At 41.6% G+C, this 18,119-nt stretch overlaps 1 annotated feature.

The window, feature by feature from the left end:
- Positions 395–547: a silencer, noted in NCBI's record as "fragment chr10:95474242-95474394 (GRCh37/hg19 assembly coordinates)". NCBI's record gives its function as "represses an EF-1alpha promoter that drives an FKBP-Casp9 reporter gene in an ReSE screen in K562 erythroleukemia cells {active_cell/tissue: K562}" and the evidence as "EXISTENCE:reporter gene assay evidence [ECO:0000049][PMID:32094911]".

Here is an 18,119-nt window from a genome sequence, read left to right on the forward strand (position 1 = left end):
TATCAGCCATTTCCATGGCTCAAAGGACCATCTGCATGCCAATGTGTCCCAGTTTATATTAATACCTCCAGCCCAGACGTCTTTACTGAGCTCCAGACTCCCATAGTCACCTCCTCACTTAACATCTCCTCATGGCTGTCTCCAACTTAATATGACAAAAACTGAACTCTTACCTTCTGCTCCAAACTAACCCCACTTCTGAGACAGAGCAGAGGCCCCTCTTAGGCGCCTGCCATCAGTTGGAACTGATGCCCCAACTCAGTCACCTCTACCTTTTCCATGGTCACACAACTAGTAACTGAGCTGAAATGTGAACTAGGCTGCAAGACTAGGCCCCAAACCCCAGCGTAGAGATAAAGGAAAAATTTTGAATCCCTTCAAGGCAGATTCCAGGCACCTTTCAACCAGCAATTAGAGAAGTAAATGAATCACCCACAAAGCAAGAAGGTAATAATAACTTAAACAATAGTCATCCAGGCCAGGCGCGGTGGCTCACGCCTGTAATCCCAGCATTTGGGAGGCCGAGGCGGGCAGATCACGAGGTCAAGACATCGAGACTCTCCTGGCCAACATGGTGAAACCCCGTCTCTACTAAAAATACAAAAATTAGCTGGGCGTGGTAGTGGGGGCCTATAGTCCCAGCTACTTGGGAGGCTAAGGCAGGAGAATCACTTGAACCCGGGAGATGGAGGCTGCAGTGAGGCAAGATCCTGCCACTGCACTCTAGCCTGGCAACAGAGCAAGACTCTGTCTCAAAAAAAAAAAAAAAGCCATCCAAGTAAGCCAGACTCACAAAATGTTTCATTCCCTATAGAAACTAAAGATAGCACCTTGAATTGTTTTTCAGAAACCTGGAGCCCCATCAGATAGAAAATGCTGACTCCCCTCCTGTAGATCTTGGATAAGGGGAAACTGAGGACTATACTCTGACTGCCATTCTTTGTTCTAATTTTCATCCTCAGGGGCCTGAAGAGCATCACACCTACAGGCCAAAACTTAACATTCCTTTCTGCTGGCCCCAAGGTTTTAGGTAAAGCCTTGCTTTTTTTTTTTTACCAGTTGCAAATCAAGGAATCTCTGAATCCACCTATGACCTGTAAGCTCTTGCTTGAAGATATCACACTTTTGGGTCCAAATGAATGTCTAACCTCCAGGTATGTATGATTTTGCCCATAACTTCTACTTTCCTGAAATGTACCCTTGCCTGTAAAAAGCCTTGCTTGTAAGTCATCTGGGAGCTCAGGTCTTAACCATTAGCTGTCCACTTCTCCTTGCTTGGTGTGCTGCAATAAATGTCTTTTTTTTCTTGCTGCAAATCTCATTGTCAGTGTTTGGCTTTGCTGCCCTGGCCGAGTGGACCCAATTTTGGTTGGTAACACTTCCTCTGCCAGTCTCTCGTCATCACAATCCACCCTGGTGCTCAAGCCAGAAACCTAGAAATTCCCTTTGTCTCCTCCCTTTCAGTCACTGATGCCCCAACTTAGTCAATTCTACCTTATTCACGTCACACAGCTTGTAAGTGAGCTGAATGTGAACTACGCCACAAGACTTTCAGATCCTCAATCATGTTGCCATCGAGAGCATATTCTGGCCATGGTTTCTCTCTACATTAAAAGATGGTTTTTAAAATTGTGGTTAAATATATATATACATATGTAACATAAAATTTATCATTTAAATAACTTGTAAATGGACAATTCGGTGGCATTAATTATTTTCACAATGTTGTGTTACTATCACCACTATCTATATCCAAAGTTTTTCATCATCCACCCCAAAAATCTCTGGACCCATTAAATTATAACTCCTCATTCTACCTTCCACCAGTCCTGGTAACCTATATTCTACTTCCTGTCTCAATGAATTTGCCTATTTTAGGTACTTCACATAAGTGGAATCATACAGTATTTGTCCTTCTGTGCGTAGCTTATCTCACTAAGCATATGTTTTCAAAGTCCATACATGTTGCACTGTATATCAACGCTTTATTCCTTATAATGGCAGAATATATTCCACTACATGTATATACTACATTTTTTTTTCTGAGACAAAATCTCACTCTTTTGCCCAGGCTGGAGTGCAGTGGCATGATCGTGGCTCACTGCAGCCTTGAGCTCCTGGGCTCAAGCGATCCTCCCACCTCAGTCTTCTCAGTAGCTGGGACTACAGGCACATACCACTGCACCTGGCTAATTAAAAAAAGTTTTTTTTTTGGTGGAGACACGGTCTCCCTGTGTTGCCCGGGCTGGTCTTGAACTCCTGGCCTCAAGCGATCCTCTCACCTCAGCCTCCCAAAGTGCTGGGATTACCAGCATGAGCCACGGTGCCTGGCCTGTATATACTACATTTTGTTTATCCAATTCATCTGTTGACTAACATTGGTGTATTAGTCTGTTCTCACATTGCTATAAAGAAATACCTGAGACTGAGTAATTTATAAAGAAAAAAAGTTTAATTGGCTGACAGTTTCACAGGCTGTACAGGAAGCATGATGCTGACCATCTGCTTGGCTTCTAGGGAGGCCTCAGGAAACTTACAATCATGGTGAAAGGCAAAGCAGGAGCAAGGTGTCTCACATGGTGGGAGCAGGAGGAAGTAGGGGGGCACTGCACACTTTTAAACAATCAGATATCATGACAACAGCACTGGGGGATGGTACTAAACCATTAGAAACTGCCCATGAGCCAATTACCTCCCACCAGGCCCCACCTCCAGCAGTGGGGGTTACATTTCCAACGTGAGATTTGGGTGGGGAAACAGATCCAAACTACATCACTTGTGTTGTTTCTACCTTTTGGCTATTGTGAATAATGCTTATATAAACATTGGTGTACAACTTATCTGTTCAAGTCTCTGCTTTCTTTTGCATAGATACCTAGGAGTAGCATTGCTGAGTCATGTGGGAGTTTTAGATTTAACCTTTTGAGAAACCACCAGACTCCTTTCCACAGCAGCAGCACCATTTTACATTCTCACATTTTCTACATCCTTACTAACACCTATTATTTTCCTTTTAAAAATTATTATTGTAGCTATATTAGTAGTTGTGAAGTGGTATCTCACTGTAGTTTTGATTTGCATTTCCCCAACAACTAATGAGAGTCTTTTCATGTGCTCATTGGCCATTTGTATATCCTCTTCAGAGAAATGAGTATTCAAGTCCTTTGCCCATATTTGAATTGGGTTCTTTGCTTTGTTGTTGAGTTTTAGTTCTTTATTGTCTTAGTCTGTTCCTTCTATAACAAGGTACCACAGACTAGGTAATTTATAAGTAATAGAAATTTATTTCTCACAATTCTGAAGGTTGTGAAGTTCAAAATCAAGGGGCCAGCAGAGTCAGTGTCTGATAAGGACTTGCTCTTTGCTTCCAAAGTGACACCTTGCTGCATCCTCAAGTGACAGAAGAGCAGAAGCAGAAGGAAGCTCTCTGAAGCCTCCTTTATAGAGCGTTATCCCATTCATGAGGGCAGGGATCTCATGCGCTAGTCATCTGCCAGAGGCCCCACCTTTTAATGTTGTAACTTTGTTCACTAAGTTTCAACATAGGAATTTTGGAGAGACACACATACATTCAAACTATAGCATTCCACCACTAGCCCACCAAAATGCATGTCCTTTTCACATACAAAATACATTCATTTCATCCCAATAGCCCCAAAAGTCTTAACTCATTCTAGCATCACCTCAAAAGTCAGAAGTCTCACCTAAAAATCATCTAAATCAGATATGGGTAAGACTCAAGGTACAATTCATCCTGAGGCAAATCCCCCTCCAGCAAACAAGTTACTTGTTTTCAAAATATTATGGTGGGACAGGCATAGGATAGACACTCCCATTCCAAAAGAGAAAAAGAAGAAAGAGGAAAGGGGTTAACAGGAGAATCACTTGAACCCGGGAAGCAGAGGTTGCAGTGAACCAAGACTGTGTCACTGCACTCCAGCCTGGGTGACAGAGTGAAGGAAGTGGGGAAAAGGAGAAAGAGACAAGAAGAGAGAGAAAACAATAATTAAACTATCTCTTAGAAAAATGAGGGTACTCAGTTAGAGACCCATCTTCTGATACCATTACCTTGGTGATTAGGATTCAATGTATGAATTTTGGAGGGCCACACACATTTAAATCATAACATTTACATATTGTAGATATATATATTCTAGATATAATTTGCAAATATTTTCTCCCATTCTGTAAGTTGTTTTTTTTACTTTCTTGATAATATCCTTTGATGCACAAAACTTCTTGATTTTGATACAGTCCAATTAAAAAAATAATTTATTTTTTTTTGAGACTAGGTTTCACTCTGTTACCCAGCCTGGAGTGCGGTGGCATGATCACGGATGACTGCAGCCTCTAGCTCCTGGGCTCAAGCGATCCTCCCACCTCAACCTCCTGAGTAGCTGGGATTACAGGCGTGAGCCACTGCACATAGGTAATTTTTTATTTTTTGTAAAGATGGGGTCTCCCTAGTTTGTCCAGGCTGGCCTTGAACTTCCAGGCTCAAGCGGCCTCTCAGGATGCTGGAATTACAGGTGTGAGCCACCACACCCAGCCAAAAACAATTTTTTAAAAACTGTGACTTGTGTATAAATATAAAATTAACCTGGGTCAGAAATTTTATTTTACTAATTAATGAGGGAACCAGTATGAAGTTACAACCAGTTCAAAGGAAAATTCAAGCACACACGTATATAGGCAATCAGGAAAGTGAAAATGGATGTACGAATAGATGCAAAGCTGGTCAATATCCACAGGGCAATTATCAATTGCACCTCCACTAGAAAAAAATTCATTTGCATCTCCATGGGCAAGAATTATTTGTATTACTGTCAGTTTTCTAAAATGTGCAAAGTTGTAAAATAGCTCAAAGACATAAAAATGTAAACTCAACAGAGTTCCAGACAGGACACCCAGTAATCTTTTTGCCTACTTCAAAGTCTTCCCTAACTTTTCTTGATGCCACCTCCCTGCACTCCCCACTTCATCCCAACAGTGGGGTGAACACAATGCTCTCTGATTGCCTCAAGTCTTTCAGCACCAGGATAGCTACTAGGGGAGTTGAGTTAAGCTCAAGAACTATTTCTTAAGCGCCTGGTGGTGGAGGTGTAACTCTCCAGCCATTCCTACTACAAATTCTCAGTATATGCTATGAACTAGCATTGTGCTATGAGCACAGAGGGAACACGCAGACATGGTCTCTGCCCTCTTTAGCCTTACTCTACAAATGGAGACAGGAAGAACTAGTAAATAAAATAATTATAAACAATGATCAATGAAATGAAGGAAAACTACCAAACGCAGAGAATCACCAAGAAGGGCCCCCATAAGCATGGTGATCAGGACTGGCTGCTTGGAAGAGAGAACATTTAAGCTGATACTTGAAAGAGGAAGAGGTCAGCCACGCCGAGCGTAGGGTGGCAGGAAGCCAGCAGAGCCACCAGCTCTCCAGTCTGTCCTCACCTTCTGCGCCTCTAGGGACAGGTCTGCAGCAACCCAGTTATGGCTTGCTCCTGCTCAGGGCGTTGGGATGTGCAGGAGGCAAGAGAGGCCAAGTTCTGCCCTCCCAGCACTGTTATTCTCTGCTCTTGGCTCTAAACTTCAAAACATTTCAAGGGGAAGAAAGGGTCCCCTTCCAAACCTGCTCACCTTCCTCCTTCCTCTTCAGTCCTGATTTCCCTCTAAATTCCCACTATCTGCTAAATGAAGCCTGAAAACTCTTCAATACAGGAACAACAGTTGAACCCACAAAGAGAGATAAAAGGCTTTAAAAATGCAAATGACTGGGAGAGTTAACACATTAGAATGAGAGCGTAAAATGATCAGCTCTTTTGCTGAACTGATTTGATTAGAAAACTGCAAGGCACAGAGATCTTATGAGCAAGAGGAAAGACCAAGGGCACAGTGGGGTGATGGGGCACCAGGATCAATGTCACCTGTCTCACAGTTTTGTCCAGGGCCTGGGCTGTAGCTCTTCACCGTTCCAAAATTATTTCATGCTGCTCCATGGCGTTTGCCAGGAGGTTGGCACTAGAAGGACAAGGTTGGGGACCATCTGCCTGAGTTGGAGCACAGCAAGAGGATGGGCTTCAGGGGACAGACAGCAGAGGGAGGAGCAGGCAGAGCACAGACTCTGGGGGGCAGTGATATGGGCAGGAGAGAGAGAGCGAATGAGATGGAGAACAACAGAATCAGAGAGCCCAAGGGACAAAAAATAAATAAAATAAAAGCTATATCATAGCAACGGAGGGAAGTCTTTAAGGAGAGGAAGTGGCCAATTATGTCAATACAGTGGGACCATTCCTCAAAACGTGTGTGGTTCTGGGATCACACATATCAGAATCATTAGGGGGACTATTAATAATTCAGATTCCTAGGTTCTGGGCACACCTGGGTCAGCGTCTCTGGCACTGGAGCTTGGAATTGGCAGTTTAATAGGTGCTTAGGGAGTCTGTGCTTATTCTGGAAGTGTTTAAACACAAGGGATGTGGAAGCAGAGCTGAGTCCAATCCTGGCTCCTTCACTTGGTCTGTTGGGCAAATTATTTCACATCTCTGAACCTAGTTTTTTCCATCTCTAAAATAATATCTACCTCATAAGATTGACATAAGAATAATCTTCACATGAGATACTTCTGTTTCTATCTATATAATGTTTAGCACAATTCCTGGAACACAATTGGAAGTCAATTAATATTGACTGCTATTATTACATAATAAGGAAAGGCCGTTGATTTTGGGAAGAAGGGGGTCATTTTTAACTTTCCAGATAATTTCAATAGAGCATCCTTGGGAAATTTCTGGAAATTAAAAAGGAAATACGTGGGTAAGACGCTGAAGCAGCAGGCGAAGGTCACAAGTTCAAGTTCAGAAAAACCCACAGCAGGAGGAAAGATTTTTGGGTTAGTGGTTAGAGTTGGGTAATGTTGGAAAGTGAAAGGTTAATTGAGACAGCAGTGATAAGAGAGTCCTTGAAGGATGGAGTAAGGGAGGGTTTCAAGGTGCAGGTATTGAAGCCACTGAAAGGAAACAGGTTAGGAGTGATAGCTTGGTCCCAGTGAAGATGGGAAAGAGGTTCAGAGGACAGGTCATGGGGTGGAGTCAGAGAATCTAAACCGTTTCCCCTGAGATCAGATGAAAGAATTAGAGCAGTTGTTCACCAAGTTTGGTCCTTGCGTGGGCATCACCATGGAATCGGTTAGAAATGAATATTTCTGGCCTGCACCCCAGACACAATGCATCAGAAACTCTGGAGGAGAGTCCAGCAAAAAGGGCTTGTTTTAACAAGCCCTTCAGGTGTTTCTGATGCACCTAAACTTTGAGAACTACTAAATCAGGAAATAGTTGTAGAGGCAGGATCTTTGAGACAAAATTATGTAGTGCCCTAGGCAAGGCCATCTGCTGAATGTTAGGGTAGCAGGGGAGCCTGAGGCTGGGGACACCGGCTGTAAAGGAGTGCCTAAGAATTAGCTAGGGACACAAGGAGGATCGCCAAACTACAGCATGACATAAAAAATAAGAAAGTTATATCTAACGATAACATCTGAGTCTCAACTAGAAAAATAATTCTAAAGGCTATATATAGTGGGATATTTATAATAATGAAAGACTGAACACTTTAATGTCCAACATTAGGTGAAAAGTTAATACAATACCAAGAATTCAACTCTAAGTGATCTCCTGGAACTGCTGGCCAAACATGGCCATCTTGGTATCACATTTCCCAGGAGTGCCCAGACATGGGACAATGAGAGAAAGTATCTATGATATAATGTTGAATGAAAAAAATAGCCTATAATAGAATGCATGTATATGATGAAAATCATGTTGTAAAAAAAAGTACTCTTAGAACCAGGCACAGTGGCTTATACCTGTAATCTTAGCACTTTGGGAGGCCGAAGGAGGTAGATCATTCGAGTCCAGGTGTTGTGTTTCTTTTTTTTGTTTTAGTTTTTGTTTTTTTTTTGAGACGGAGTTTCTTTCTTGTTGCCCAGGCTGGAGAGCAATGGCGCAGTCTTGGCTCACTGCAACCTCTGCCTCCCAGGTTCAAGTGATTGTGCTGCCTCAGCCTCCCAAGTAACTGGGATTACAGGCGCCCACCACCACACCCAGCTATTTTTTTTTTTTTTGTATTTTTAGTACGGACGGGTTTCCACCGTGTTGGACAGGCTGGCCTCGAACTCCTGACCTCAGGTGATCCACCTGCCTCGGCCTCTCAAAGAGCTGGGATTACAGGAGTGAGCCATCGTGCTCAGCCGAGCCCAGGAGTTTGAGACCAGCCTGGGCAACATGGCAAAACCTCATCTCTAGAAAAAATACAAAAATTAGCCAGGCATGGTGGTGGGCGCCTGTAGTCCCAGCAACTCAGGATGCTGCGGTGGGAGGATCACCTGAGCCCAGGAGGTTGAAACTGCAGTGAGCCATGAACTCCAGCCTGGGTGACAGAGTGAGACCCTGTCTCAAAAAATAAAAAATAAAATAAAAATAAAATAAATACTCTTGGGGGAACAATTGGAGCTTTAAAATAAATCAATAGATTGGCAAAGGTCACTGGGGCCAACAATATGGCTTTTGAAGTTACCATCATGGGAGTTGATAGCCATGGGGTAAATGTAAGGGACTCCAGGTTGCTGGGCAATGACTCAGCCAGAACAAATAGGATGGAAGCAGCTAGGTTTGTTCAGAGCCCCTGAGGCCATTGACTTGTCTGGAGCCTTGGAGAAGAACAGGAAGTAGCCTTGGAAACCTATGGGGACCACATTTTTAAAATCAAAACTTGGGACCCAAGGTCTGCCAAGTTTCTGGTAGGTGCTAATAGGACCACAGGCCAGCTTATTTGAGTCTGGGCACTCCTGGGAAATGTGATACCAAGATGGCCATGTTTGACCAGCAGTTCCAGGAGATCACTTAGAGTTGGAGAACTCAATTCCAAGTCATTTTACAGAAGAGGAAAATGAAGGCAAGGGAAGTTCAAGTTCAACAACTTGCCCAAAATCATACAGCTTTAAAGCTGCAAAGGCCAAAACTAAAGCTCAGTCTCCTATTTTTAATACCATGCTTCCTGGATGAAGGACCTCGAACCCTGGGCTAAAGATTTGAGATGAGCAAGTCAAAACCACAGTAAGTTACCACCTCACACATATTAAAATGGTTATTATCAAAAAGACAAGAGATAGCAAGTGTTAGAAAAAGTGTAGAGAAAAGGGAACCTTCACACACTGCTGATGGGAATGTAAATTTGTATAACCATTATGGAAAGCAGTATGGAGATTCCTCAAAAACTTAAAAATAGAACTACCATATGATCCACCAATTCCTCTTTTGGGTATATACCCAAAGGAAATGAAATTAGCACCTCATAGTGCTAAATCTGCACTCCCATGTTCACTGCAGCATTATTCACAAAATAGCCAAGATATGGAAACAACCTAACTGTCCATCAGTGGATGAACGGATAAAGAAAGTGTGGTACAATTCTTGTGTATACAATGAAGTATTATTCAACCTTAAAAAAAAAAGGAGATATCCCCATTTGTGACACTTATAAACCTACAGACACTACGCTCAGTGAAATAAGCCAGACACAGAAAGAAAAATATGGCATGATCTCACTTGTATGTAGGATATTTAAAAAGTCCAATACATAGAAATAGAGAGTAGAACGGTCGTTACTAGGGGCAGAGATTGGGAGAAAATGGAGACATGTAGGTCAAAGGGTATAAACTTGCTGTTAGGTAGGAGGAATAAGTCTAGAGATCTAAAGGACTGCATGAGGACTAGAGTTTAATAATATTGTTTTGTATGCTAAAAATTTGTTAATATAGATTTTAGAAGCTTCTGCCACAAATACACACAAAAAGGTAACCATGCAAGGTGGTGGATGTGTAAATTTGCCTGACTGCAGTAATCATTTCACTAGCTCTATGTATATCAAAACACCATGTTGTATACTTTAAATATATGTAATCATAATAAATAAATAAGTAAATAAACAAAAGAGATGAGTTGTACCAGGTAACAAGGACTCATAATAAATCACTGCCTAGGGAAGCACCATGGTGAAGGGAGTGTTTGAGGAAGGACAATGATGTGTAAACTGGACAGGAACAGTCTGAAGACTGGATATTGTTAGAGCATCAGCAGCAGCCTATGGACATGTGGTTAATTAGAGCCTGGACCAGGTTGCTGGCTGTGAAATTAGACAGGAAAGAACCACAGAGAAAAATGACATTCCTCACTGTCACATCACACTCTCTCCCATTTCCTTTTCAGGTTCTTTAGAACTTCTTTCATTTACCTTAAAGGCTTATTTGCAGACACAGCTCAGCACAAACTCTAACTAGCCTGTAAATCATATATATATATATTTTGGCTAGGCCATGCTTCTACATTCTTAAAAGCCAATGCTACAGTGGGAATGAAAAGGAATCAGACCCAGTATAAATTGTGAATGGCTCTGAACTTAAGGCTTTCTACAAATGATGAAGTATTTAAATAGGAAGTTAAGAAAACCGAGAGGCCCAAGAGTGTCTCATCCAGTAGTACCATTCTTTCTTCCCTACACCTCCTGGCACCTTGGATACTCCCTCAAGCCTTCAGTTTCCTTTGCTCCCTATGGGAAAGCCACTGGATTCATTCAGGACAAGATGCGAGGCATCACACTCAGACTATGAAGACTGAAAGGAAACTTGGAGTAACCCAGCCTAAGCACTCAGGAACCCAGAAACACAAATGGCTGAAGGTGAAAACAAGACTGTAACCCACATTTCCCAATGCCCTCTGGGAGCACGATTTTTCTCCTTTCCTTTTCCTGAAATGCAATCTGAAACAAAATTCTAAAATAAAAATATTTTTTTCTGCTCAAAACTGTGCACATGCGTATTCTCTCTCTCTCTCTCTCTCTAGAATAGAGTCAATAGGAGATAAAACCTTCAGAATTCAAATGTCACCTTAAATACAGTGATTAAATAGCATTCTCTAAGCAGAATTACTTTAAAAGGGAGAAAGATGAAACATTTTTATTTTCTTTATGTTAGATCTGCCATCAAAAGTAATTGATAGACGTGTGCTGTTTTTTTTTTAGCATATCATTGTTACTTCCCTCAAAACTGTTATGTTACTGCTTGTACTCATTTTATTCTCCTTTCAGGACTAAATCTGCTGAAAGAAAAAGACTACATCTTGTTTATCTTTGCATTCCTCATGGGTCCTTGTATTGTTTTTTGCACATTGTTCTATATAAGGTTTTGGCACAGCGCTTACTCTTCTTAAAAATTGGTGGAATAACAGGGCATGAAATGACTTTCATCCAATATTTTTGCAACTTTTACCTTCACTACTTAAAAGAAAAAAGTCAAATAGCAAAATGAATATGCCATGTCAATTGGAGAATTTAACAATCTGTGTTTTAAAAGAAAACAGCTTAGGAAGCTCTGGTCTCAGACATGCTATTCTGAAATCAAAATCACATAGATGAGGCTGAAGAGTTGAATCGTCTTCTGAATCAAATTAAAAATTCAACCCATAGTAATTTTGGCAGAATGAAAACGTCAAATTGCATTTCAGCCAATTTCTCTTCCTTTTCTATAGTCGATGAGTTGTTTTGGGGCACAAGAAAAAATTTCAAGGATTGTGTTTATTTACAATATTTTCAGGAAAAAAAATGCCTGCTTGCTTTCCTGTAAAAGTGAGAGGAGCAGAGAAGCTTCCTAGACTGTTCTCAGATGCTTCAGCTAAAAAGTAAAATAACAGTGCCAATAATTGAAAATAAGGAGAAAAATTATGCCAAACACTTGGCACCAGCTGCAGCAATTAAGTAAGCACCTGCTTTATGCTTCATCTGCCACCATCCCCTCCCTCTTCATTTAGGCTGGTTTCTGGTTTTTTTGAGAATATATGCACCTCAGTGTACAAGCTCGCAGAGCTGTCTTTTTCCTTCTTTTTATTTCATTCCTTTCCCTTTGGCTATCATTAACTCAGGCATGACAGGAAGATCCAGACAAGGACAAGGTAGTAAAGACACCAATATTTCTAAAATCTAGGGCTTTAGAGAATGTTGGGGCAGATGTAACCATAGTAATCACTGGTATGAGAGCACTGATGTCCTTACTAAACAGCAGGTCACACCATCCCAAGGAGACCTTGCAAATGAAGATGCAGATTAGATGTCTGGAAGCAAGATTTTTATTAGCTTAGTCCTGAACCTTAGCTATGCAACAAAAGCCAGCTCTGCAGAGATTTAGGCTCTCAAAGAGACACCATCAAGGAGTTCGAGACTGTTAGGAGCATAGGGCTTAGCATGAGCATCAAATAAGGTATAAAAGAGGTGCTTTGAAAAGTTGAAAGAATTATGCAAATGTAAGGCAGGTATTAATATTAAAGATGTTTATCATAACCCATCTAAGAGAAACAAAATCATAAGTGTATTCATCCACTGGAAATGAATTTGCACTTTTTGGAATCCTGGGCTACCATTTCCTCTTTTCCCTTTTATCCTGTCTATAAAAGCTGGCTAATGATGCACCTACCTCAGAGGCAACTGTGAGGCTTAAATGAGATTATGTGCATGAAGCACCTTGCTCCATGCCTTGTATAGAAAAGATACTTAATAAATGTGAATTGCATTTCAAGGGGAAAATCAAGTACATTATCCTGAGAATTCTTCATACTTGCAGTTCATCAATAGATGCTTCACATTAAATTACATGTTTCCAGGAGAGAAAAATGGAGTGGTCACCCTCAACAGTACACAATCAGTGGAGCTGGCTGCTTCTCACATGGAGAAAACAGATGTGAAACAAAGGCATCCATCCTTCAATTTGTAGGTGTCAAAGTAGCAATTCCCCTCTTCTCATACTGGTAACTACTGCTTTGTTCTTCTGCAGAAAACATTTTAAAGCTGCTTTTGAATTCCCTCTATCATAGCCAGATACCAGCAAAAGAGAGACTCTGAAAACAGAGCAAGAGCTTCTAGGTACAGACCAGAAGCTCCTTGAGGTTAGGGACCATTCTACCTGGTTCCCTGCCACACTCCAGCACTTTCAAGAGTGCCCAGCAGATGACAAGCCCTTAGTATGCACTTACTGAATCATTTCAGTACATCAGAAATTTGAGGAAGTAAATGAGACACAAAATTAAAGGTGCTTTATTTCATCAATTTGATTGGCATGTCCTGCTTCATCTACCTTTGGTGCAAAATAATGTCTCATTTGTTTTAGTGCTTGATGTGGTTTGGATGTGTCCCCACCAAAATCTCATCTTGAATTGTAGCTCCCAAAATTTCCAGGTGTTGTGGAAGGGACCCTGTGGGAGACAATTAAATCATGGGGGCGATTTCCCCCATACTGTTCTCATGGTAGTGAATAAGTGCCACAAGATCTGACGGTTTTGTAAGGGGAAACCCCTTTCACTTGGCTCTCATTCTGTGTCTTGCCTGCTGCCATGTAAGACGTGCCTTTTGCCTTCCACCATGATTGTGAGGGCTCCCTAGACATGTGGAACTATGAGTCCATTAAACCTCTTTTTCTTTATAAATTACCCAGTCTCGGGTATGTCTTTATCAGTAGCGTGAAAACAGACTAATATGGTGCTCAAACCATAATAACTGAAGTTCATCTTATTGATCAGGGGAACCTATCCTACTCCTATAGGGTACTTTTCCCATGAAGTACCCTGATAGAAGTACCAGGAGCAGATAGTCCAAAGTGATTAACTTATTCATTGTTAATTAGTTAATATTACCTCATAGAAGAAACCAGAAAGTCTGGTGAGTCCACCAAAGGGCTCTGTTGTCTGCTGTTTGTGTTGCTTTACATCAGTGCAAAAACCATAAAGTTCAGTTATCTAGAATGAGACCCTATTTGTTTTAATATTACTACAGTATCAAGACAGATAACTATTGACAGTCCTAAAAGATTCTTAGAGATTTTTAGGTGATAAATGGTCTCTCTCTCTCTCTGTGTGTGTGTGTCTATCTCTGTCTCTCCCTCCCTCTCTCTTTTTCTCTCTTGCTCCAGGACTGTGCCCACCCTTGGAACAACTGCACTAATCAGGTCTGAGCTTCTGATGTCACAGCACCTGTGGGGTGCCGACCTTCCAGTTTACACACACAGAGCCACTTTGTGCCTAAGGTACATCTATAGTGCCTAGGTGGCTGGATCAACAGATGCAGCATCCACACCCTGAAATTTTCCTAGAACCCTTTTCTTGACTCCACTCTCCGCTGGAGAACCTAGAAACCCTTAGCTTTAGTTTAAGGTGGTAACATTTGAGGAGTTTGGGAAGGGGAAGAGATGAGCATACTAGGAAAGCAAACAGTGTGACCAAAGGCAGAGTAGCAGGAAACTCAGGGTCAGCCACAAGAAACCTTCACTTGTCTGGACACAGAATCCATGCAGGGTGGGGAGCTGGGAGACGTAGAAAGGCAGGGCTATTTACAGATTTTATATTGAGGGCCAAGTGGTGTACAGAGGAGTCAAGATTTAAAGCGGCAATCATTCTTTCCTCACAACGTGTACAAAATGCTTTGAAAGTTCCCCTTTCTACCACATTTTAGACTTGGTGCAGAGAACTAGAACCCACTGTCACCACTTCAGTGTTCTGCAGAGTGGCGGTGGCCCTAGGGTGCCCTACTGAGCTACAGTGGCACATAGGAGTAGACAGTCTTCCAAATCATTAGGGCAGCATCTCCCAGGCTGGCCTATTGCATAACAAGGAAGAATTCTATGATAGGAACAAGCTGAAAGTGTTATAGGAGTGATATGGTTTTGATCTGTGTCCCCACCAAATCTCATGTCATATTGTAATCCCCATTGTTGGAGGTGGTGCCTGATGGGAGGTGATTGGATCATGGTGGCAGAATTCTCATGAATGGGTTAGCAGCATCTCCTCGGTCCTGTTCTTGTGATAGCAGGTGAGTGAGTTATCATGAGATCTGGTTGTTTAAAAGCATGTAGCACCTCTCTCTTCTCTTTCTTGGTCCTGTTCCTGCCATGTTAGAAGCCTGCTCCCACTTTGCATTCTGCCATGAGTAAAAGCTCCATGAGGCCTTCCCTGAAGCAGATGCTGCCATGCTTCTTGTATAGCCTTCAGAACTGTGAGCCAATTTAACCTCTTTTCTTTATAAATTACCCAGTGTCAGGTTTTTCTTTATAGCAGTGTGAGAAATGACTAATACAAGGGGGCCTTGAAAATACACTCAAGATAGTCTATGACAATCAGAGAACTGATAGTGATCATATCATGAGAATTGACTTCCCAAAATCCTATCTATGTTGATTGATAAGGAGTATGTTCATTCACTGATCTGGCCAAGGAGAATGTGACTGGCCACGATTGGCTTAGACTGATCTTGTCATTGGATTTCAACCCTGGCCATAAAATAGAACCACCTGAGTAGCTAAAGAAAATTGCCGACATCTAGGTCCACACCAGTGATTCTAGACTCATTGGGGCTGAGGGAACAATGAGTACAAAGGCCGGGAGTCAAGAGAACATGGTGAGTTTATGTGGATATTGATAGTTCTACATGGCCTGAACACAGCGTAGGGAAATAAATTCATCACCTTAGGCCTCAGGTGACACACTGGGACTACCACTGCTCTGTGAGACAAGGAAGTGGTGGGATAAGATCTAATGCTTTGCACCTAAGTCTAAAATGTGGTAGGTTCCCCTGTAGCCATATCAAAGTAGGTGCTGTTAAACAAGGGAATCTTAAATAAATCTTTGAGAGAGTCTGCAGTGGTTAAGGGTGCATGCTTGCGTGCAGCAAAAGATGAGCTCAGTTCTATCATCTAACACCTGGGGAGCAAGCCAGGGGACCAGACCTGAACCTTTGCGGGGAATCAAGTACTTAAAGAGGTATCACCTTTAGATTACCTTGTCCTCACCCTGTTCCCACTATTGTCTTTCCATCGTAGTGTTGAAAACTATAATGTCTACATATTTCACTGTAATGTCCACAAATTCAAAAAAAAAATGCCCAGGTTTGTAGAACGTGCTCCGTAAATGTGACAGTTTCTGCTCTACTTGCAAAGCTCAATAACTTGTAGTCAGGTTCTTGGGCTCTTCCAAGAACTTACCATGCCAAAAACCTATCCTGATTCTACCATTTACTTGCTATGTGCTATTGGGCAAGTTGCTTTACCTGTCTAAAACTCAGCTTCATCTGTAATATGGGGGTAATGATAAGTACTTAGGTCAGAGACTATGTGTTCCTCACACTTTCTTTTTCCTCCTGGTCATAGTCGTTGTGCACTTTTCCCAACCTTTCTTGCAGCTAGGCAGGCCATGTGATTGCATTCTATCCAATGGAATGTTGGCAGGAGTGATGCATGCTATATCCAGGCCTAGATCTTAAGAACCCTCCCATGGGGTCCCTGCCATGTGAACTTGCTCCCTCTACCCTCATCTGCCAGTGAGATGCAGAAGATCCAGTGAAGAACTTCAAGGTCCTGGGGAGGGTGAGTTTATTCAGGAAGGAACCTGAATCCCTCCCCCGCCTTCTGCCCATACTGTGCCATGGGTAAAAATCAGCCTTTAAAATATCAAGCCACTGAGATTTGAGGGTGTTTGTTATGGCTGTTAGCCTCACCTGACTAATTCAGCAATTCTGAGAATCAAACGAGAACATTTATTTATAATCACGGTGTCAGGCACAGAGTAAATATTTAGTAAGTAACAGCTATTTATCATCATATGATGTCAGCCCTGCTTTAGGTATGTAGACTTTTCCCTTCCCATATCTTCAAATGCTATTTCTTCCCTTTGATCCAGTGACCAAGACAACTCTGGATGTCCAGTGCTGCTTTATCTTTAAGCCTAATCACAACATTAATGCATTGCTTCTCTCTGGACCTTGCTTTTCTAGTAACGTTTCCTCGCAAAAATATGGAGGGTAGAGGGGATGTTTCTATCGAGATGATAATGGTTCTGAAATGAGTCAGAAGCATGAGGCATTTCAACTGGCATCATTCATCACAGCTCCATTTTTGCTTCCCCTGCCTTTCTGTATGAAGTCTACAGAGCTGAGAGTTAAATTAGTTTGAGAGCTGCCTCGGATGAGCAGCACAATCTGCTCCACTGTAGCGAACATTTCATAAAAACTGTTCCTGCCGAATTTTCATGAAACTTCCAAATTTTAATTAGAAACTGGAGAACCAGATGGGTGGCAAAAGGAATTTAAGGTAACAAGGGAGTAAGTGCTCTTACACTAAGGTAAAAATCAATAACCGTGTGACCAAGTGGGCACTTAATTGGCATGATTTGGAAAGTTCTAGCGGTTCTCCCTGTGGCCCTCAAACATCTCCATTACATGACAACAATGCCTAAAATTGTTAATAAAAACCCTTCACAATCACATGTTATTTTACAGTTGAGCCTTGAACAATGCAGGGGTTGGGGTGCTAACCCCTTGCAGAGTCAAAAATCTGTGCATAACTTTTTGTCTTCCCAAAAACTCAATTACTAATAGCCTACTGTTGACCAGAAGACTTATCAATGACATAGTTGATTAGCACATATTTTGTATATTTTCTATATATTGTATTCTTACAATAAAGTGAGCTAGAGAAAAAATGCTATTAAAGAAATCATCAGGAAGAGAAAGTATATTTACTACTCATTAAACGGAAGTAGATTATCATAAAGATCTTCACCCTCATCATCTTCATGTTGAGTAGGCTTAGGAGGAAGAGGAAGAAGAGGGGTTGGTCTTGCTGTCTCATGGGTGGCAGAGGCAGAAAAGATGGAGAAGGTGGAAGAGAAGGTGGAATAACCAGGTACACTCAGTGTAACTTTACAGCAATACATTATAATTTCTATTTGATTTTTGCTTTTTCATTTCTCTAAAAATTTTCTATATGGTACTGATCCTTCTTTCACCATTTGATTTAGTTTCAGTGTCTATATCTTAGTAGGGTCCATGTTAGAAAAAAAGTCAAAAGCAGTCATGAATGATCAGAACCACTCTGCTAGATTGTCTAATGTCAATTTGCTTTCTGGAACTGCTTTCCATACATCGTCTTCATCACCTGGCACTGGTTTGAAATCACTCATCTCCATCAAGTTGTCTTCTGCTGTCTTTGGTGAGGTGTTTGTTAGCTCTTAAATTTCTCCAGGATCATCTTG

This window comes from Homo sapiens, chromosome 10 (assembly GCF_000001405.40).
Source record: "Homo sapiens chromosome 10, GRCh38.p14 Primary Assembly".
NCBI classification, from domain to species: Eukaryota; Metazoa; Chordata; class Mammalia; order Primates; family Hominidae; genus Homo; species Homo sapiens.